The sequence below is a fragment of the Homo sapiens genome, chromosome 14 (genome assembly GCF_000001405.40).
Source record: "Homo sapiens chromosome 14, GRCh38.p14 Primary Assembly".
Lineage (NCBI taxonomy): Eukaryota > Metazoa > Chordata > Mammalia > Primates > Hominidae > Homo > Homo sapiens.
Genome location: NC_000014.9, coordinates 38,018,249 through 38,042,134, shown reverse-complemented (window position 1 = coordinate 38,042,134; position 23,886 = coordinate 38,018,249). Strand labels below are relative to the sequence as shown.

Genomic DNA, 23,886 nt, shown 5'->3' with positions numbered 1-23,886 from the left:
TTATGTAAATAGAACATGAATAAATTATTTCAATAAAAATTCAAATGTTACTTAAATATATAGAGTAAAAATTAAAAATACCGCTTTACATCCCTCAGTCTTGCTCCTTTCCCAAAGGTAATGACCACCATCCATTTGTTGTTAAATCTTCTAGAACTTTTTCTATTAATAAACATATAAATGAAAATATCATTTAACATTTATACATAGGCACAAATGTGAAATATTGTGTACATAGGTATGCAACTTGCTTTTTTCACTAAATATATATATTAAAGACTTTTACAGATAAAATTCATGTAGATCTACCTTATGCTCTTTATTGCCTGCTATTCCGTTATCTATTATATACCATATTTAACTATACTCATATTGGTGGATATTTAAATTAATTCCAAACTCTTAATCCAAATGTGAGCAAGGCACTGAACAGTCATGTTAAAGCACTTGGCAGGATTTGTATGTGTGTGTGTGTCTCTGTGTGTGTGTGTGTGTGTGTGTGTGTGTGTACATAAAGTGAATAAGAGGTGGTATAAATGCCGCATTTATCTAAGTAGCAGTTTTCACTTTTCTGAGTTATTTATCCCCTATAAGAAGGGGAAAAACTCATTTTCATTTTGAAATCTGATTATAGGTTAAACCAGCTAGGATGATTTTGGCTCTAAGTTTAGATATTCAACAAAAAAAGGAGATAAAGAATTGGAGTGTTTATTGCCTCATAACAAGAAATTCAGAGGTAGAAGATTTCAGGGACAGAGCAATGTCAACAGGAACCCAAGATTTTTCTTCCTTCCTCAGCTGCCTTCCTTAGCATACTGACTTTCTCATTTGTTCTGCCTTGGTAGCAAGATGGCTGCAGCAATTCTGAGGTTCTCATCTTCACACAACATTCAAGTAAAGAAAAAAAAAAAGCATACATCAGTGTTGTATATCCCATCTTTAACATTCAGAAAAAAAACTTCCCAAAGCCCTCTGATATGGTTTGGCTCTGTGTCACCACCCAAATATCACCTTGAATGGTAATAATCCCCATGTGTTAAGGGTGGGACCAGGTGGAGGTAACTGGAACAAGGGGGCAGTTTCCCCCATGCTATTCTCGTGATAATGAGTGAGTCTCATGAGATCTGATGGTTTTATAAGCGTCTGGCATTTCCCTTGCTGGCACTCATTCTCCTTCCTGCCGCCCTGTGGAAAGGTGCCTTCTGCTGTGATTAAAAGTTTCCTGAGGCCTCCTCAGCCATAAGGAAATGTCAGTCAGTTAAGCCTCTTTTCTTTATAAATTACCCAGTCTTGGGTATTTCTTTATAGCAGCATGAGAACGGACTTATACACCCCCCAATGAACTTCCATTTCTATCTAACTGGCCATCATTGTGTCACATGCCCACCTCACACCAATCACTGGCAAGGGGAACAGAATCACATAACTGACTTAGACAAGAAAATGTGCAGTATCTCTACTCCTTGCAGCTAAAGAAGAGATGAACCATATGGCCACCCAATTCCTAAATAAACACTAGGCAAACAACAATGTCCACAACACCAACAAACCTCAGACTTCCCAAAGTAAGATTTATGATGCACACAAGTGGAAGGTCTTTGTTGCAGCCTCAGGCAGCAAAGCACATGGCTCCCAGGAAGTCATCAGAATGTCACGTTATTTAGTTTCTCCTGTCCTGAATTTCATAGTTGCAAAAGTGACATTTCTATAACCAAGCCACATGGGACCCAAGAGAAAAATGGAAAGCAAAAGACCTACCTGCAGACAACAGCTACAGACAAGAGATGAAGTTTTCTGCTTTGCTCTGTCCCACCCTTTCTCCCCTTCTCTTCATTTCTCCTACCTCATAAACACACACTTCTGAGATAGAATCTTGGAGGGTGAAAATATCATGTTCTTTTGAAATAACACCTCTGCCTAAGGAAAATATCCACTTAAATATATCTGTATATGTATATATGCACACATGTACATGCACATACATGTATGTGTGTGCACTTTTATAATACAAGTAAGGCATTTAGAAATCAGAGAAAAAGGAATAATTTTAAATCATTCAAAACTTTCCAGCCAGAAATAACCACTGTTGAGCTAGCGATATATCACTTTGTAGTTAAAAACTCCTTTTCACATCAATGTTTCTTTGTTCCACCAAACAAAATTAAGCACAACACGAGTTTTATATTGACACACACTCAATTTTCAATAAAAATGTGAAGTGCACTATTAAAAATATTAAGATGTCTTCTTTATCAAAACTTCTGTGCAAGTTTTATTACAACACAATGGAAGCAATCAAGCAAAATAAAATGAAACACAAATGGTTCCACCATAAATAGCAGGCCTGGCAGCCTTACCCTAACACTGTGTTAGAAAGTTATTGGGAAACACATAGTAATATAAGTTCTGAGTCACTGAATTTTATCACCCAATCTACAAGGATAAGAGCCTTCCCCAAAGCAGCTGTATCTCTAACCCAGATGTTCTATTGGCGCTCTTTTTCCTGGGCCACTCTGGTATTCACTGGCACATTTTCTGTATTTCATTTCAGTGCCAATCCACTACCAACCCAGCAACAATGTGGCGTTAAACACAAATGATACCCAACAGCACTCTTTGAAATTGGAAATGAGAGTCTTCATTAATTTAGAAAATCCAGAACTACATATTAACATTTTCTGTAATAATTTCTCTCCCTGATTAGGTCGGTGACTAAACAAGTACTCGCTGCTATATTATCCAGGCCATTTGCTTGATCATTTCCTCTGGTTAAAAGCAAGTATTTGTTCTTTCAAGTATTTGTTTTGTTCGGGCTCCAAAAGTTAAAGAGGTAAGTTTACATCAAGACAGGTAAGTATCTGTCCACAATGAAATCTTGGAAAAGATGATTCCCTATGGTTCAATTGTGTGGCCCTAAGTAGCACACACGGGCTAACAGGGTTGTAGAGAGACAGTAGATGTTGTTGCTGAAAGAGGCCTTGGCCGAGTTTCAACATGAGAAGTGGTGTTGTTGTTGTTTATATCCTATCAAATGCCGACATCTGTTCATGGACCGTGTCCTTGCCAGAGCTATACTGTGAGGATATTTAAAATAAAGATATGTAAACATGGCACCTTGAAGTCACTATATTTTATCTTCACTCAAATACAACCTCTTGGAACACTTTGGAAATTCTAAAAAAAAGAGATTGGGGTCAGAGTTAGAAGAATATGATTTACTGAAGTGGCAAAAAGAAAAGTACTTTTTAAAATCCTCTCTGCCATAATATATTGTCATTGTATTAAAACTAATAAGTGGTGATAAAGTCTACTGTTGTTGGCTATAAAGGAAGCTTTTAAAATATAGAGTTTAAATAATAATTGCATACATATGTATATATATATGGAGGCTGCCCTTAGTGTCAGGTTTGATGTGTAATGTTCAAGGGTTATCTGTAATTCATGCTTTACAGCAAGACAGGTCTTTTTATGTCAGAAACCAAGTGCATGATTGCCTGTTCTTAAGCAAAAATGTGCTGCTTGGCAACTGAATTTAAATTGTGTATTATTCTGCTGTGGTTCAACAACCTGATTATTTTTAGATAGAAATTTAAGGTAAAATGGCACATGGATATATTTAGAGAGGACTGCAGCTGGAGTCCAGCTATCACAGAAAGCATTCTGGCATTTGCTTGGGGAAGATATAGCTTTCAAGGGGCAGGGGTTCAGTAATAGCAGGTCACTAACAACTGTTTCAGGGAGTCACTGATTCCTGGAAGCAATGACTGGTGTCTTGACACCCTGGAAGTTTTCCCAAATGACTTGGCTAGAGTAGATAAAGCTCATTTTATGCCGTTGATCGTATGTATTTTCTTGCTGATCATGGAAGATGGGAGCAAGAAAGGACACTATGTTTGATTTGATTTTGCAGGGAATAGAGCGACTCATTAGTCATTCAGTCAAACATCCAACAAACATTTATTGAGCATTTACAATGTACCATGTTATTAGATGCAAGAGATACAATGGTGAGGAAAAACAAATATTCCCATGTCTTCATGAAGCTCAAGACTTAACAGGTAGGATTAACATTAACCAGATAATCACATAAATAAATGTAAAGTTGCCACTATGATGAATGCTGCCAATGAATAGTCTAGTGCTATCAGGGCATGCAAGAGGGGAATCTGGCATAGTCGAGATACAGCAAGGCTTCCCTGGAGAAGACACCACTGAAATCAAGTCTGAAAAGTGAGTAAAAATTAATAAATGAAAGGAAATTTGAGACTGTCCTATGTACTCAGAGCAAAATGTGCCAAAGCCCTGCTGCTGAAGGAGCATGCATGTTTGGGGGACTGGTAGGTCAGTGCAGCTGAAGCAGAGAGAGAGAAGACAGGCTATTATAAGATAAGCCTGAAGAGGTAGGATGAGGTCAACCTTAGAGGACCCTGTACACCACATTAAGGCCTCATATTTTCAGCCATGTAGGCAAAATTGGGGCAAACATACTTTTAAAAGGGATAATGGATCCTTATAAAAGAAATTAAGGTCAATATATATTCATTGCTACTATTTTGTGCAAGAAACTATGCTAGGTCTGAAGAAGCTGCCAAAGGAGTACAACATCTATGTTCATAATGCATAAGCAGTCCAATGAATAAACAGTGAAATATATTCCATGTTGTCAGAGAATATCTTTAAATGATATGAAGATTTACTGGAAGAAGACATGTAACATGACAAGAGGGAATAGAATCTGGGGAACACTTAATAGAAAAAGGCTAATGAACAGTCAATAGAATTTCTACTAGCAGAAATGGAGAGTGTGGAGTTAGTGCTATTGACAGAGTTATCAATGTGAGCAAAACCAAACACCAAAAGTGGACCATGTCCATTGTCTTTGGGGAGAACAGTAGAAACTTCAGGGAGGTTGTGATACAGGCACCACCTGGAGATGGTACAACAGAACAATGTCTTACTTTTACATTGTACCCTACATTTATAATCTCAATAGATCTCCAAAAGAACACTATGAAAGAAATAGGGAAGCTTTAGCAGTTATCTTCATTTTACTGAAATGTAGAGTGTATAAATAATTTTTCCAAGAACACACAACTGGCAAATGATTGATCCACAATTAAAATACAGATTGCAAGTTTCCACTGCTTCACTGAGTCACAAATTTCAATCATTCAGAATCCATCTTTATGGTTTCACTACATCTGGATATCACTTTACTATCATACACTTAACGTTTATCTTTTAATTGACTAATTCTTTTTCCTTAAAATTTTTTAAAAGGAAACTATCACCCCCTAAGAGGAAGCCAATATCATTTGTCACAAGTTTAAAGGTAATCCATAAAAATAAATATTTTTTTTAAAGTGAAACAATTCTAGATACCATTGTCTTTAAAGGAGCCTGAGACATGAATATTTACTTGGTTAAAAAGATAGTTTAGCAAGTGTTAGAAAAGAGCTAAAAAAAAAAAATCCTGGTGAGAATACAAAGAAGTGAAAACACACAAATGCTCCTGGTAGGTGGAAGTATAAGTTGGAACAACTACATTGGAGAGCAATTTGGCAAAGTTTATAGTATATATCTATATAATATAAATATTCTTATTTTATATTATATATATAATGTTTAAATATTTATTTATTTATTTATATGCATTATCTTTAACATAGAAATTCTACTTCTAAATATATAGCCTAGAGCAAGGATCAGTGAACTTTCTCAGCAGAGATCTAGATAATAAATATTTTAAACTTTGCAGGCCGTAGAGTCTCTGTAGCAACTACTTATTTGTGTTGTAGCAGTGCAGAAATGACCACAGATAATAAGCAAATGAGTATGACTGAACTCCAACAAAAACTTACTTATGGACAGTAAAAATTTAATTTAAAACAATTTTGTGTGTCATGAAAAATTAGTACTATGGTTTGAATGCGTCCTCTGAAGTTCATGTGTTGGAAATTTAATCCCCATTGCAAAAGTGTTGAGAAGTGGGACCTTTAAAAAGTGATTAGGTAATGAGGGCTCTGCCTTCATGAATGGATTAATGTTGCTATCATTGGAGTGCATTTATTATCACAAGAGTAGGTTTGTCATAAAAGCGAGTTTGGCTGTCTCTTGCTCCCTCTCAGTGTGATGTCTTCCTCATTTCCTCCATGTTATGATACAGTAAGAAGGCCCTCGCCAGATGTGGCTCTTGATTTTGGGCTTCCCAGCCTCCAGAACCATGAGCCAAATAAATTCCTGTTCATTATAAGTTACTCAGTCTATGCTATTTTATTATAGTGGCAAAAAACGAAGATAATTAGTCTTCTTTTCAATCTTTTAAAAATACAAAATCCATTCTTAGCTCACTGGCTTTACAAAACAGGTGGCAGGCTGGATTTTGACTCCTGTATTTCAAATTCCACTGATCCCTGGGCTTCAAATTTGACTTTGTGTCAAGCAAGTTCATCAGCATCATTTTTCCCACCAATGTATGCTCACTTTGTGTCTCTGTGACATATTTTGGTAATTCTTATAATTTTCAAACGTTTGCATTATTATTTTTTATAGTGATTTGTGATAAGTGATCTTTGATGTTATTGTTGTGTTTTTGGGTCCCATTAATGGTGCCCATATTATACAGCAAACTTAATTAATAAAGGTTGTATATATTCTGATTGCTATACCAACCAACCATTCCCTCATCTCCCTCTCCTTGGGCCTCTGTAATCCCTGAGACATAACAATGTTGAAATTAGGCCAATTAATAACCCTGCAATGGTCTCAAGTGTTCAAGAAAGTGTTCAAGAAAAAGAAAGCGTTGCACATCTCTCACTTTGAATAAAAATCTAGAAAGGATTAAGTTTAGTTTTGAGGAAGGTATGCCAAAAGCCAAAGTAGACTGAAAACTGAGCCTCCTGCACCAAACAGCCAAGTTATGAATACAAAGGAAAATTTCTGGAATAAAATTAAAAGGGCTATTCCAGTAAACACACAAATAATAAAAAAGTGAAACAATCTTATTACTAATATGGAGAAAGTTTTAGTTGTCAATAAAAGATCAAATCAACCACAACATCCTCCTAAGCCAAAGCCTAATCCAGAGCAAGGCCCTACTTCTCTTCAATTCTATCAAGGTAGAGAGAGGTCAAGAAGTTGCAGAAGAAAAGTTTGACATAGCAGAGGTTCATGAAGTTTAAGGAAAGAAGCTGTTTCCACAGCATAAAAAATGCAATGTAAAGCAGCAAGTGCTGATATAGAAGCTATAGCAAATTATTCAGATCAGGCTAAAGTTATTCTTGCAGGTTGCAACACTAAACAGATTTTCAATGGAGATGAACTCTCCTGTTAGGGTCTAATGCAGGTGGTGACTTTAAGTTGAAGCCAATGATCATTTACCATTCTGCTAATCCTATTGCCCTTGACAATTATGCTAACTCTACTCTACCATGCTTTATAGATGGACAAAAGCCTGGATGACAGCACATCTGTTGAAAGCATGGTTTACTGAATATTTTAAGCCCATTGCTGAGATCTAATGCTTGGAAAAAAATAATTCCTTTCAGAATATTGCTGCTCATTGACAATACACTTGGTTGCCCAAGAGTTCTGATAGACATATACAAAGAAATTGATCTTGTTTTCATGCCTGCTAACACAAGATCTGTCTGCAGTCCATGGATCAAGCATAATTTCAACTTCAAGCCTTATTATTTAAGAAATACATTTTGTAAGACCATAGCTGACATAGATTGTAATTCTTCTGGTGGATCTGGGAAAAGTCAGTTAAAATCTTCTGAAAAGGATTCACAATTCTAGATGCCAAAGGGAACATTTATGATTCACAGGAAGAGGTCAAAATATAAACATTAACAGGAGTTTGGAAGAAGTTCATTCCAACCCTCATGAATGACTTTGAGGGGTTCAAGACTTCAGTAGAGAAAGTAACTGCAGGTGTGGTGGAAATAGCAAGAGAACCAGAATTGGAAGTGGATCCTGAAGATGTATCTGAATTGCTGAAATCTCATGATAAAACTTGAACAAATTGGGAGTTGCTTCTTATGGATGAGCAAAGAAAGTGGTTTCTTGAGATGGCATGTCAAGAATATCAAGAATAGCATCTGGGGAAGATGTTGTGAATACTGTTGAAATAACAATCAAGGATTTAAACTATTCCATAAAGTTAGTTGATAAAGCAGAAGCCAGTTTTGAGAGGACTCAATCCAATTTTAAAAGAAGTTCTACTGTGCATAAAATGCTGTCAAATAGTATCATATACCACACAAAAATCTTTCATGTAAAGAAGAGTCAATTGATGTGGAAAACTTCATTGTTGCCTCTTTTTTGTTTGTTTGTTTGTTTTGAGAAGGAGTCTTGCTCTGCCACCCAGGCTGGAGTGCAGTGGAGCGATCTCCGCTCGCTGCAAGCTCCGCCTTCCGGGTTCACGCCATTCTCCTGGCTCAGCCACCCAAGTAGCTGGGGACTACAGGCGCCCGCCACCACGCCCGGTTAATTTTTTTGTATTTTTAGTAGAGACAGGGTTTCACTGTGTTAGCTAGGATGGTCTCGATCTCCTGACCTGGTGATCTGCCCGCCTCGGCCTCCCAAAGTGCTGGGATTACAGGCGTGAGCCACCACACCCAGCCGCAATTGTTGCCTTTTTTTAAGCAATTGCCACAACCCCCACCACCCCCAACCTTCAGTAACCACCACCCTACTCATCAGAAGTCATCAACATTGAGGCAACATCCTCCACCAACAAAAAGATTACTACTTGCTGAAGGCTCCAATGATTGTTAGCATTTTTTTTTTGCAATAAGGTATTTTAAATTAAAGTATGTCTATTTTTAGACATAATGCTATTGATTATGTCTTATAATCAATAATCAACACTTAATAGATTACAGTATAGTGTAAGCATGACTTTTCAATGCATTGGGAAGCCAAACAATTCATTTGACTATCTTTATTGTGATATTTGCTTTATTGTGATGGTCTGGAACCAAACTTGTAATATTTCCAAGGTATGCCTATAATTTATTTGGGAGGTGATCTCAGAAAAGGATGAGTGGGGAAGTGGAGATATGAGATAGGAAAAGGCAGGAAACCCAAGGGTGCAGAATCAACAAATTATCACCATGGGATGTGAGGCAAGTACTGGTGGGGAAAATACCTCAGAGTTGTCTCACAATAGGTGTAAAAACAGGTAGGGTATTTATCCACCAAATCCTGGCCTATCATTGAATGAAAGCTGCTTCAGTCTCTCTGGCATTTCAACTTGCCCTGCAAGTGAGCTGAGTGTGCTCTGAGCATGCCAGAACAGACACCTTTCAGCAGAGTGCTGCAGGTGTCCACAGGAAGCAGCCTTCAATCTGGAGAAGTGAGTGCCAAGGGTATAAGAGCAAAAAACAGTATCTGCTAAATTGCAAACAGTTACAACCATGAATCTGAAAATAGATGAACTGTCATTTGCTCAAAGGAATATTATATAACAGTTCAGATGGACAGTGTAGCTCTACAATAGTGAACATCAATAAATTTCCAAATAAGATATTGAGAAAAAATGGAATTTGTATCATAATAATTAATATATGTAACATTTCCATGCAGTTTAAAAGAATGAAAAACTATAGCAAATTCAGGAAGAGCAGGTGCATTTAGAGAATAGCAGAAAGAAAAGAAGGAAAGTTACACAAAGGACCTCAGCTTTATTTCTGGTTTTTTGTTTTTTTAAAAAGCCAAACATGGAAAAATGTTAAGTATAAAAAATCTGGGTGTGCATACGTGAGTATTCATATTAATATTTTCATATTTTTCTTTATATGATTTATATCAAATAACAGAAAGTTTTAAAGAAATGAGCTAGCTTAAATCTAGGTTGTTCTTATTAAAAATCCAAGCTTCTAGAAGAAAGTGAAGTAGGTGTGAAGAAAAATATAAAACATTGATAGTATCTGATGTGGAAGTTTTCAATATTGATTATTTGTAAAAACATCATTAATTTTGATAGAGAATGATAGCAAGGATATGACACATGTAAATAACTTCTATAATAAAATAGCTATGAGGATTAAAAAAGCAGTTGGCAAAATATCTTAAAAAGATTAAGTGCTATACAGTGTAACTAGTATAATTATTACTAAATTGCAGTGACATTGTGAAATGTTCCAATGCCAGTTGTTGAATATTTACGGAAATTATTGCCTTGTCTTTTGTCAAAACAAAACAGAATTTCCTTTTTCTCCATATTTTTCCTGTTATGATAGGAGGATTCTGGTTTTTGATAAAATTTTATGCACATTTTATCATTTGGAAGTATGAAAAGCTGAAACTTTAAAAAAGACTGAATGTTGCTTGTGCTTTACACATATTCATGGCAAGAATGACAGTAAAAATATGTCTACAAATATCTAGTGCTTACAATATTCTAGCAGTGGGATAAATGCTTTCCATATATACTCTCATACAGTCCTTATTACAACGTTGTTATGGAAGTTTCTGTTTTCCTTACTTTGTAGATGGGGAAAGTGAAACACCGCTCAGTGTAAGTGGCTTGCCCAAGAATATAAAGTTAGGACATGGAGTGGCCAGGACTTGAAATGACTGCTGTTAGCTCATTAAAAGCCTGCACCTTTAGTCACTCTGCTGTACATTGCCCCCACAAAAGGAAAAAAAAAGTTAGTTAAATTCCACTATACAAAGCAACAAAGCATCAAATTTTATTTTAATATTTCTCAAAATAAATTGGCCATTATTAGGTTTTAGAAATCTTTAGGGTCATAAGCACTCCATTATAATGTTTTATTGTAATAAGATTTAGTCTATTTGCGATAATCCACTTTGCAATTGCACATTTGTAATGTTTACATGTTACATTATATTATGCAAGAGGGCTAAGACAATTTAATATACCTGTGACTGGCATGCACTTACTAGAACTTAAGGAGATTCACTTTAAGAAAACCCTCCTTTGGAATGTATGTATGAATGGTGCTGCTTCTGGCAGTATATGTAACACTTCAGCACCTGGCCAGTGTTTGACCTTGCCTACTCTTGTCAAACACAAAAAGTGTTAATAGTCTCAGTGAGAAACCTGGCTGTCACCATTATGCTAGGAACAGGTTACTAGGTGTGGGACTGACACAGCACACTTGCACAGGTTTTGTATGAGCTAGTCCTGAGCTTTGACTGCTCTCCTTGCCTCTCATCTGAGATCATGACCCTTCAAGCTGTCTGGTCAAGACTCTGTTAAGAACAAATGGTGTACTGTTTAGTCAATTGTGTTATGCTACTTACAACCCAAAAATTATAGTAGCTTACAATATTTATTCCTTTACATGAGTGATGCAGGTCAGCTGCAGACATGTTGGTTACATAGGTAACCAGATATGGACTTCACTGGGCTGCACTAGGTCCAGTGGGCCATTCTTGTATGGCTACTTGTCCCGAGATCCAGAATTAAGTAGTGGCCACTGCCTAGGGCATGGTGTTCCCATGGTAGAGGGAAATGTTAAGGGTAAAGGGAGAAAAATCACACAAGCTCATTTAAAGCTTCTGTTCAGATGCTGCTTGCCTCACATCTACAACCGTTCCACTGACCAACCCACGTCAAATGGCCATGGACAAAGCTAATGGGATGGAAAAGTATACTCCACCTATGGGGAAGGTAATACAAAATTTGTGGCAAAGGGTAAACGTGAATTTTTTTTTTTTTTTCTGAGATGGAGTCTCACTCTGTCGCCCAGACTGGAGTGCAGTGGTGCGATCTCGGCTCACTGCAAGCTCTGCCTGCTGGATTCATGCCATTCTCCTGCCTCAGCCTCCCAAGTAGCTGGGACTACAGGTGCCCACCACCACGCCTGGCTAATTTTTTTGTATTTTTAGTAGAGACGGCGTTTCACCACGTTAACCAGGCTGGCCTTGATCTCCTGACCTCGTGATCCACCCATCTCAGCCTCCCAAAGTTCTGGGATTACAGGTGTGAGCCACTGCGCCCAGTCAACATGTAATTTTTTAGTGGGAAAAAGGTAATAATTGGGAGTCAAATAGTTCAATTTACCACAGTAGAAAAAATATCAAAGGAGAAGGAATGAGAAATTATATATATATATATATATATATGAAATAAATATATATATATATATGCACACACTAAATTATAAATATACAAGTATTGTAGTAATAAAATTTTTAAGCTATAAAATCATCAATTTCCTAAAATCATTGGCATCAAGCTCATAATAATATTTAGGGAGAAATCTCAATGCCCCTACCTCTTGTGTTTCCACCTGGAGGGATTTCAGCTTTTCTCATCCCCCTTGTTCACACTTCCAGGGTAGAAGGAATAGGTGAGTTTAGAAGCATCTGTGAATGCATGACTGATGTCCTCTGGGCTCTCTCTCTTCTGAAGCATCCCTGTCTAGTGGGATGGTATGTTCTACTCTATCCCTATCCTCTTTCCAAGGTAAGAGTCTTGTCCCTGTCCAGCTGTGTTGGTGACTGGTTTGGTACATTTTATTTACAGAGGAATCATTAGAAATAGACAAAGAAGTCTTTTCCTCAGTTGGTTCCACCTTTAGTCAGGGAAGAGGACTGTTCTTGCTGGCTCCTTCCCAAAACTGTAGTAATAATAGTGTTGGTAACAGCTAATATTAATTAAATACCTACCACTTAAATACAGAATCTCATTCATTGTCATAATGAGCCTGAAAACTGTTCAATCAATTTTACAGTTGAACAAACTGAGCCTCAGAAGAGTTATGTGATCCTCCCAAGGTCGCACAGCTAATAAATTGGTGGACCTGAGTTACAGTTTTAAATAATATTTACCTGTATGTTTTTTCTTCCAAGTTATTTATATGAACAGGGTGTACATATGCAGGTTTGTCACATGAGTGAATTTCATGTCGGGGGGGTTTGGCCTACAGATCATTTTGTCACCCAGGTAATGTGCATGGTACCTCACAGGTAGATTTTTTAATCTCCTATCTCTTCTTCCCACCCTCCACCCTCAAGTAAGCCCTAGTGTCTATTTTTCCCTTCTTTGTGTCCATGTAGTCAATGTTTAGCTCTCACTTACAAGTGACAACATGCAGTATTTGGTTTTCTGCTCCTGTGTTAATTAGCTTAGAATAATGGCCTGCAGCTTCATGCATGTTACTGCAAAAGATATGATTTAATTCTTTTTTATGGCTGCATAGTATTCCACAGTATATATGTATCACATTTTCTTTATCAAGTCCACCACTTTTGGACATTTAAGTTGACTCCATGGTTTTGCTATTGTAAGTAGTGCTCCAGTGAACTATACATGTGCATGTATCTTTATGGTGGAATGATTTATATTCCTTTGGGTATATACCCAATAAAGGGATTGCCAAGTTAAATGCTAGTTCTCAGTTCTTTGAGAAATCTCCAAACTTCTTTTCACAGTGGCTGAACTAATTTACATTCCCACCAGCAGTCTATAAGCGTTCCTTTTCTCCACAATCTCACCAGCATATTTTTTTTTTTTACTTAATAATAGGCATTCTGACTGGTGTGAGATGATATCTCATTGGGGTTTTGATTTGCATTTCTCTAATGATTAATGATGTTGAGTATTTTTTTCAGATGCTTGTTGGCTGCATTTATATATGTCTTCTTTTGAGAAGTGTCTTTTCATGCCCTTTGCCCATTTTTTTTAATGGGATTGTTTGTGCTTTCTTGTTGATTTGTGTTCCTTCTAGAATCTGGATATTAGACCTTTGTTGGGTACACAGTTTGCAAATATTTTCTCCCATTCTGTAGGTTGTCTGTTTTCTCTGTTGATAGTTTCTTTTGCTGTGCAGAAGTTCTTTAATTAGGTGCCACTTGTCAATTTTTAGTTTTCTTGCGATTGATTTTGAAGTCTTCACTATGGAATCTTTGCCAGGGTTCATGTCCAGAATGGTACTTCCCAGGTTTTCTTGTACAGTTTTTATAGTTTTAGGTTTTACATTTATATCTTTAATCCGTCTTGAGTTGAGTTTTTAATATGGTGAAAGTAAATGGCCTAGTTTCAATCTTCTACATATGGCTAGCCAGTTATCCCTGCACCATTTGTTGAATAGGGAGTCCTATCCCCAGAGCTTGTTGTTGTCAGCTTTGCTGAATATCATATGGTTGTAGGTGTGCAGCTTTATTTCAGGGTTCTCTAACCTGTTCCATTGGTTTATGTGTCTGTTTTTGTACCAGTACCATAATATTTTGGTTACTGTAGCCTTATAGTAAAGTCAGGTAATGTGATGGCTCTGGCTTTATTCTTTCAGCTGAGTATTGTATTGGCTATTCAGACTTTTTTAAAATTCCATATGAATTTTAGAATAGTTTTTTTCTAATTATGTGAAAAAATGCCACTGTTAATTTGATTGGAATAGCACTGAATATGTAAATTGCTTTGAGTAGTATGGCCATTTTAACAATATTGATTCTTCCTATCTATGAACATGGAATGATTTTCCATTTGCTTGTGCCATCTCTGATTCCTTTGAGCAGTGTTTTGTAATTCTCATCATAGAGATCTTTCACCTCCCTGGTTAGTATTCCTGGGTATTTTATTCTTTTTGTGGTTATTGTGAATGGGATTATGTTCTTTATTTGGCTTGGAAGTTACTGATGTATAGAAATGCTACTGAGTTTTGTACATTGATTTTATATCCTGAAACTTTGCCGAAGTTGTTTATCAGATAGCTATAGTATAGGAGCTTTTGGGCAGAGATATGGGGTTTTCTAGGTAAAGAATCATATAATCTGTGAAGAGAGGTAGTTTAACTTCCCTCTTCCTATTTTGATGCCTTTTACACCTCTTTCTTGCCTGATTGTTGTGGTAGGACTTCCAGTACTATGTGGAATAGGAGTAGTAAGAGTGGGCATCCTTGTCTTGCTTCAGTTCTCAAGAGGAATTCTTTCAGATTTTGTGCACTCAGTATATGTTGGCTGTGGGTTTGTCATACATGACTCTTAATTTGAGATATGTTCCTTTGATGCTTAGTTTGTTGAGGGTTTTTAAAATGATGGCATGTTGAATTTTATCAAAAGCCTTTTCCACATCTATTAAGATAATCACATGGTTTTTGTTTTTAGTTCTGTTTATGTGATGAATCACATTGATTAATTTGTGTATGTTGAACCAACCTTGAATCCCAAAAGGAATCCACCACTTGATCATGGTGGATTAGCTTTTAGATGCGCTGCTGGATTCAGTTTGTTAGTATTTTGTTCAGGATTTGGCATCTATGTTCATCAGGGATATTGGCCTGAAGTTTCTTTTTTTCATTGTGTCTCTGATACGTTTGGGTATCAGAATGATGCTGGTCTCATACGATGAGTTAGAGTCCCTCCTCCTCAGTTTTTGGACTAGGTTTTGTAGGAATGGTACCAGCTCTTCTTTATACATCTGGTAGAATTCAGCTGTGAATATGTCCGGTCCAGGGCTTTTTCTGTTTGGTAGGTTTTTTTATTACTGATTCTATTTCTGAATCCATTAATGGTCTGTTCAGGATTTCAATTTCTTCCTAGTTCAATCTTAGGATGTTGTATGTTTCCAGGCATTTATCCATTTCTTCTAGGTTTTCTAGTTTGTGTGTATAGAAGTGTTTGTAATAGTCTCAGGGGCATTTTGTATTTCTGTGGGGTCAGTGGTAATGTCCCCTTTATTATTTCTGATTGTATCTATTTGGCTTTTCTCCTTTTTCCTTTATTTTTCTAGCTAGTTGTCTATCAATCAATTTTATTTATTCTTTCAAAAAAGACACTTCTGGTTTTGTTTCTCTTTTGGGTGTTTTTTCTCATTTCCATTTCATTCATTTCAGCTCTGATTTTCATTGTGTTTTTCTGCTAGCTTTGAGGTTGGTTTGCTTTTGTTTTTCTAGCTCCTCTAGGTGTGAGGTTAGGTTGCTAATTTGAGATCTTTCTAACTAACTTTTTAATGTGTGCATTTAGTGCTATAAATTTTTCTCTTAACACTCCTTTAGCTGTGTCCCAGAGATTCTGGTATGTTGTATCTTTGAAACTGATAAAAGTTTCAAAGAATTTCTTGATTTCTGCCTTAATTTCATTGTTTACCCAAAAGTCATTCAGTAGGAGGTTAATTTCCATGTAATTGTATGGTTTTGAGAGTTCCTCTCAGTATTGATTTCTATTTTTATTGTGCTGTGGTCCGAGAGTGTGGTTGGTATGACTTCAGTTGTTTTGAGTTTTTTGAGAATTGCTTTATGGCCAAGCATGTGGTTGATTTTGGAATATGTGCCATGTACAGATAAGAAGAATGTATATTCTTATTGCTGTTGGGTGGAGTGTTCTGTAGATGTCTATTAGATACATTTGGTCAAGTGTAGAGTTTAGGTCTCAAATATCTTTGTTAGTTTTGTGCCCTGATGATCTAATACTGTCAGTGGGGTTTTGAAGTCTCCCATTATTATTGTATGGTTATCTAAGCCTCTTCATAGGTCTCTAAGAACTTCTTATTTTATGAATTTGAGTCCTCCTATGTTGGGTGCATATATATTTAGGATAGTTAAGTCTTCCTGTTGAATTAAACACTTTATCATTATATAATGCCCTTCTTTGTCCTTTTTGATCATTGTTGATTTAAAGTCTATTTTGTCTGAAATAAGACTAGTAACCCCTGCTCTTTTTTGTTTTTTGTTTTCTTGATAGATCTTTCTCTATCCCTTTACTTTGAGCCTATGGTTGTCACTGCAGGTGAGATGGGTCTCTTGAAAACAGCATAAAGTTGGGTCTTGCTTCTTTATCCAACTTGTCACTCTGTGCCTTTTAAGTGGAGTATTTAGCCCATTTATGTTCAAAGTTAGTATGGATATGTGTAGATTTGATGCTGTCATCATGTTGTTAACTTGTCGTTATGTAGACTTGATTGTGTAGTTGCTTTATAGTGTCAATAGTCTGTGTACTTAAGTGTGCTTTTGTTTTGGTTGGTAATGATCTTCTATTTCCATGTTTAGCACTTCCTTATGGACCTCTTGTAAGTAGGTCTGGTGATAACAAATTCCCTTAGTATTTGCTTGTCTAAAAATAATTTTATTTCTCCTTTGCTTATGAAGCTTAGCTTGACTGGCTATAAAATTCTTGGTTGGAAATTCTTTTCTTTAAGGATGCTGAATATAGGCCCACAATCTCTTCTGGCTTGTTGGATTTCTGCTGAAAGGTCCACTGTTAACCTAAAGGGGTTCCCTTTATAGGTTACCTGCACCTTCTCTCTAACTGTCTTTAATATTTTTTCTTTCACATTGGCCTTGGAGAGTCTGATGACTATGTGTCTTGGGGATGGTCATTGTGTATTGTATCTTTCAGGGGTTCTCTGAATTTCTTGAATGTAAATGTCAACTTCTCTAGCAAGATTGGGGAAATTTTTGTGGACAATATCCTCAAGTATATTTTCCAAGTTGCTTGCTGTTTCTCCCTCTCTTTCAGGGACACCAATGAGTCATAGGTTTGGTCTTTTTACATAATCTTATATTTTTCAGAGGTTTTGTTCATTTTTATTTATTCTTTTTTCTTTATTTTTGTCTGAGTTGATTCAAAGCATCAGTATTTGAGCTCTGAAATTCTTTCCACAGCTTGGTCTATCCTGCTGTTAATACTTGGGATTATATAATAAAATTCTTGCAGTGAGTCTTTCAGCTCTATCGGATCCATATGGTTCTTTCTTAAAATAGCTATTTTTGTCTTTCATCTCTTGAATCATTTTAGTGGATCCCTTAGATTCCTTAGATTGCATTTCAACTTTCTCCTGAATCTCAGTGAGATTTATTGCCATCTAGATTCTGAATCCTATGTTTGTCATTTCAGCCATTCCGCTCTGGTTAAGAACCATTGCTGGGGAGCTAGTACAGACCTGAGTTTCAATGCCAGGCATATTGGAAGCCAAATTGTACAACACTGTTCTGGCCCCTTCTGCCTTTGTGTGCAATAGCAATGCTCAAGATAGGGAGAAGCCCAGGAAAGGAGAGATAAGGCCGAGTGTCTGAAATGTCAGGTATTTTTATTGTCTTGATTTCTTTGTTACACAGTAAATTGTTAATAACTTAGACTTTTTAACCATAGAGGTTTGACATCTTTATGTGAATTTTGGAAATGTATTAGTATGTCTCTAAAGTGGCATAATTCTGATTATTAAAACCTACTAATTTATTAATATATCTTTAATTTCATTAGAAGACAATGATAAGATGGAGTTTAACTCAAAGAAATTTTCATTAGTACAAATTTTACAAATATATCTCTATTCTGATACAAAGATCTACCAGTACAGAGAGGGATAATGACCTTTTTGTGGGATTTAGGAGACCCACCTGGGTCTTATAAAGTTTTCTGTAATGCTTAAGCCCTTTAACTATTGACTATTGACCAATTATGGTAATTGAAGATGTGACTTCTATCAATATAATTATAAGACTTTTGGATATAGCTAGAGTTAAGATTTAAAAAAATTTTAACAGTGACAGATGATGATATTTTTGTCCTTTACCTGATATTTATGTATCTTTTTAGGCTTGTTTTAATTTTCATGATAATATGGTACCATGTCTTTTTCTTTGAACCCTGAGATTAATAAAATGTATTCCTGGAGACTTCCTATTCACATAAGTGCTATTATCTCAAAATCTTGCTATAAGAAAACATCACAAGCCTCAATTCCTTCCTGCCCTTTTCTCCGTGTTACTTGTCAAACTGTTACTGGAAATGAGTATCTGACCTTTTTTTCTCCCACACAATTTCTAATAAAGATGCTGCCACACGGCTGTATCCTAGTAACTAGGTTTTATGCTGAGAAAGACTATTAAGAAAGAGTCCAAGATAGGGCTAATTTCGACCATCAGTAAAGGTAATTTGCTAGTCTTGTTCTTTTTCTTGATTTCTTTAATTTAGATGAATAACAGAGCTAACCTTAATGTTCCTTCTGATAAAAATACTGTCCTATAGACCCAAATTAGCATATTTGCTTTTGATTACCTTGCAAAACTCTATTTGCTCTCTTTTCTTAAAAGCTTAATAATTCATATAAGGCTTCAGAGGAATAAAATCACTATGTGCGGGTGAAAAATCCTAACTTCCCTGCTGAGGTTAAATGGCAGCCTTCAAAGAATTTTTTAAATAAATAATGGAAAGAGATACTCCATCTTGCCTCTGAACTGCTGCATAAGCAATTCCTTATCGCCGGAATTTGCAGAGACATAAGAAATCAGTAGTCATACAGGCAGGTACTAGAAACCAGGAAGCACCAATATCCTAACTGAAGGGCAGAGACTGGAACTGCTCTGCTTCAGGGCTTTGTGAGACTCTGGGAATCAATTCCTCAATTTTCAATGCAGTAGCTTGCTTTTGCACTCCTAAGGCATGAAATTGGATGAGCGGAAAAAATGCATTCTTTTCAGGCAGAACACAGGTTTAAGGAAACAAGAGGGGAAAATGTACAGGTGCCCTGGAGAAGGGACTTCTTCTCTTGGAACAGTCTACTGGGCAGACTAGGAAAGGAATCAGAGGAAGTTTGAGGGTGAGCTTGTTGCTGGGGTATGGCATGACATTTTTGCTTTGTAGATCATAGAGGAAGATGGGCACCACTGCCCCAACTCATTTCCTCCCAGCCTGAGTTTGGTATGCCTTTGTCACCTAAAGTCATGAAGGTTCAATCAGAATTCCAGTAGCATTAGGTTGTAAACACAGAAGTGGTTTCCCAAAGGCCAACCCATGTCCTAGTTGCTACTTGTACTTAATTCAAGCAGCTTTAGTGTCTCACTGGGCTGGCAGGTCTGGGAAGTCAGATCTGACATGCAGTAGGATGTGCTCATCATAGAAATCACACTTCTCCAGAGTAATTTTTAAGGTAATGTGAACTAAAGTTAATTTCTCAGAAATGTTGCAGGCCCTCTCTCTCTAGAAGTATACTTTTCAGTCCTCTAACTATGGTTGTTTTTCTTCTTTCAATGAAATCAATGCAACCTATACTAACTTGGGACAATGGACCCTGCAACATCCAGTATTTCAGCTGCAGTGGAGTTACTTTCCCAAATGCTTCAGGCATCTGTTTCTTCATTTCTTTCTTCTTTTGCTGTAAAAGAGCTCCATATGTCTTGTTTTAACACAATATGTTTGCAACCACAGCAAATTAAACAATGCCAGTTGAGAACCATATACTAAAATATGAAAATCTAAATCAAATTTATATCTTCACAATGCAATGTTTTCTGAACTTCGCTTGTGCACATACCATCATCACGATTTTTGTCATATCCACATTTTACCTATAGTATTAGTAATTTTCTTTTCTTTTAAGTTGACTCACATTTTTACCTCCATACATTAATTTCAAAGGAAGCTACAATAAAAGTAGCATATCACTCATCATAAACAAGAAGTAAATATAGATATGTAATCATTAAAACATAAAAATTTTGTCACCCCCCTGAAAATTATCTGCATACCATATTTTGAAAAATTATTGTACAGAGATTTATAATTTATAGATTTCTCTAGCATAAATTAATCCATTTAATTTTCACAAGAATTCTATGAATTTGGCAAGCAGATACAGTATAACCATCCACATTTTAGAGACAAGAAAACAAGGACTGGCTCTTTAAAAAAAAAAAAAAAAAAAAAAAAGTAGAGTTTTCATACCGAAAGAGAGCTTGCTGTTGTTTTTGTTTGAAGCCCATATTATCTAATTTTGTACAGTTTATGTGTGACTTTTCCAGGTTCGTTTGTGGTCTAAGAGTCTAAAATTCAAGACTACAGTTCTTCTAGAACACTGTTTTAATTGATTCCTTACTCACTTACAATCAAAAATCTTCTTGTGACTGTCCACATTTTGATTGCACTAAAACTGTGCCAAAATAAATATATTTGAAATAATTGATAATTTATGGAACCCTTAAAAACCTTCTTAACACAAAAATTTTATGTGGTAAGGTAGGTAACATTTTTCTATGCTGCAAATTAAGAAATCATGAAATATTTAAATAATTTGTCCCAAATCAAACATCTTTCTCTACAATTAGAAACACCAAAAATTGTTAAATTTGTGTGAAAACTCGAGAGGTTTAAGATAGCGCTTTATAAATCATATTGGAAAACAACACTATTATGTGAAATTCCTCACAGCAAAAATATGTTATAAAATGTCTTAGCGATTTTTTTCACTTCACTAATGAAGAGGTAAGTTGTAATCATCTAAAGCAAATAGTGATACTAAAATCACAGATAGATATTTAAGCAAGAGATAACACATACTCTTAGTCAAAGACACAGGAAATATTACATAAACATTCAACAAAAACATTCATAAGAAAAGAAAATTGGCATTATATCATTGAGAATTACATTCATTCATTCTACAAATAAAATATTCTTAAATTCCTATTGCTTCTATAATTCTCATTTTAGTTTATTTTCAATTATATAACATGGGCATTTTAAAATTTGTGATGATATAGAGGGATATTAAATATAAATAAATGTTTCTCCCTCTTTCCTTTCTTCATTCTCCCTCCTTTCTTCATTCTCCCTCTCCCCAGTCCTACTTCCTAATTTCATTCACCAGAGGTAATCATTATTAAATTTTTGTGTGTGTATATGCTTTCAGAAGTTTGATGCATATGCATATGCTTTGTTTTTAGGCAAACGGAATCTGAAAATACTTACATACACACTGTTTTGAATCATTTTTTCTTGATATCGATATCTTTTTATGTTGTTATATACCAACCTTTTACATTCTTTTAATTGTAACAGAGTGTTCCATTGAATATATGTGCAACCATTTATATTGCTGGTTGTCAGATTTTTTTTCTGTAAAGAATCATATGGCAAATATTTCAGGCTTTGTGAAATATTTGGTCTCTGTCACAACTATTCAACTCTGCCATTGATAATACATAACTGATGGGTATGGCTGTACTCTGATAAAACTTGACAAAAACAGGCTATAGGCGGGATTTGGCCCACAAAACATAGTTTATTGACCCCTGATCTAAATAATTAGTGACCTATAATATCTAAATAATAGTCACAGTATAAACAAGTTATTTTCTGTTTGTTGCTATTAAAAATAGTGCTGCTATGGGACTCTTTAATGTATTTGCATTTGCTCGATTAAGTTAAAATGAATACACCACAGAGTATTTAAAATATTGCTTTATGTGTGAAAAAACAATCCTGTATATTCTGGGCTTCTGTCCATCAAGTGCTTGTGTTCTCTCCATGGACAAATAGATATTTTCTGTCTGTGCTGTTTTATTTTTTTATCTGGCCACTTTCCTACCTTACTATTGGCTAAATGAAAAATCCAGAGACTCGAATCTATTATTGTATCTATTTCCTGTTTCCCCTGACTTGTGTTATCCAGGGATTAGTGACAAGAAAGTGTTATCCTTATGGGAGAGGAACTGTCTAACTCAAAGATTATATGTGAAGGGAAAGCTTAATGGAGATTGAATTAAATACCTGGTATTTTTCTTTTCAACTATTTTCTCTTTCATTTTCTTTTTTTTTTTTTTCAGAGATTCTTTGTGGCAAGTTGAGTTTGTATCAGAATAGCTCCAGACAATGGAGAGATTCTAGAATCAGCTTTTAGCCTTTAATTAAAGACCTGAAAGATATTGCTATCAGCCACTTCAAGGTATAGAGAAATTAATACTCTGAACTGCAGGGTATCTGAGAGAACAAGTAATCAGATGCTGTGTTATCACAGAAGATAATGGGCACTATTTCTTGCTCCTCCTTGAGTTAAATGTTTATACAATGTCTGGCAAGACCCTTACAGGTAGAGCTAAACAGCATCTTCTGTTCCAGCTTTTCTACAAACGGTCTCATGATCAGCCCCTGCAGACATATGAATTTTAACTCAGTTTTGCTTCCTTTGTAGTTGAAGTGCTCATTGGGGATGTCATTACTATCTGGAGAACTTGCATTTTCCTTTTTCACTAGGCTTAGCAAAATAAAGTCCTTGTGTCTTTCGTTCCTCATCATCCCAGCAGACTTTTAGGCTGAGATTTTTGAACAAATATATTTGTACTTGAAATTTATTGAATTTGTGGCTGAATGTCTCACCTTTAGAGAGGATCACTCAACACCTGAATAAGACTCCCAAACTAACAAAGGAGCTATAAACCCATGAAGTATTGCTGATAAGGCAGTTGATATTAATCTGGGTCTGAAATCTGGCTTGACGGAAATCCAGTCAGGCTCATTGGATTCTTCCTATGTCATGGTATGCATGATCCTGACTTTTTCATGAGCTAGCTTATCCTAATCAATATTATCTGGCATACTATACTTCATAAAATAAGGTTATATTCCCCTTAATGTTCAAATTAATCCACTTTGAGCTCCTCCCACTTATCCAGAGAATGTCTTACTTTTCTTGCTAGTGTTTCACTCCCTTTTCGTAATAAATCATTGAAGGCCAGTGGTATTTATTCAAACAGGAAAGGCCAGTTCTGGTTATTAGTGACTTACAGAAAAGACACTGGAAAGGTTCATCAACCCCTTGACATGTATCATTCTTAATTGTATTTGCTGATGTTGCTGCCAAAAATCAGAGTCTGGCAGTACTGTAGTGATCCAGGCGTGAGCTGCCATAGAAACCAGGCTTTTTGGTGATAGTTTCTCAGGAGAGAGCAGAAAAAGGCAAATTTTCTCTTCTCAGTGTTACAACTACCTCTGGTCTCCCCACATAAAGCATTATAGGAAACTGGAAAAAGTTTCCCTAAGAGACTGAATCCTTTGTGTTACAACCTTGTAATGACTACCCAAGAGTAGTCTCTCAAATTAATATAACCAAAGAAAGGAGAGTGGGCCATTTACTATAGCCTGAAATATCCTGCTGTCCTTGCACCTCAGGAGACTTTCCTAGCAGTACGTTCA

The 23,886-nt window shown here is 36.0% G+C and overlaps 1 long non-coding RNA gene across 2 annotated transcripts in view; it reads left to right on the top strand.

Annotated features, from left to right (window-relative positions):
• The first annotated feature begins 2,519 nt into the window (after positions 1-2,519).
• Positions 2,520-23,886, top strand: part of LOC105370456 (uncharacterized) — a 36,505-nt gene continuing 15,138 nt past the window's right edge. The window contains exons 1-3 of one of the 2 annotated variants that reach the window (XR_943761.4): positions 2,520-5,332; positions 11,544-11,647; positions 11,866-12,008. This is a non-coding gene — a long non-coding RNA (uncharacterized LOC105370456). The remainder of the gene's footprint in view (positions 5,333-11,543; positions 11,648-11,865; positions 12,009-23,886) is intronic. The other variant, XR_943760.4, reaches the window with a different exon arrangement.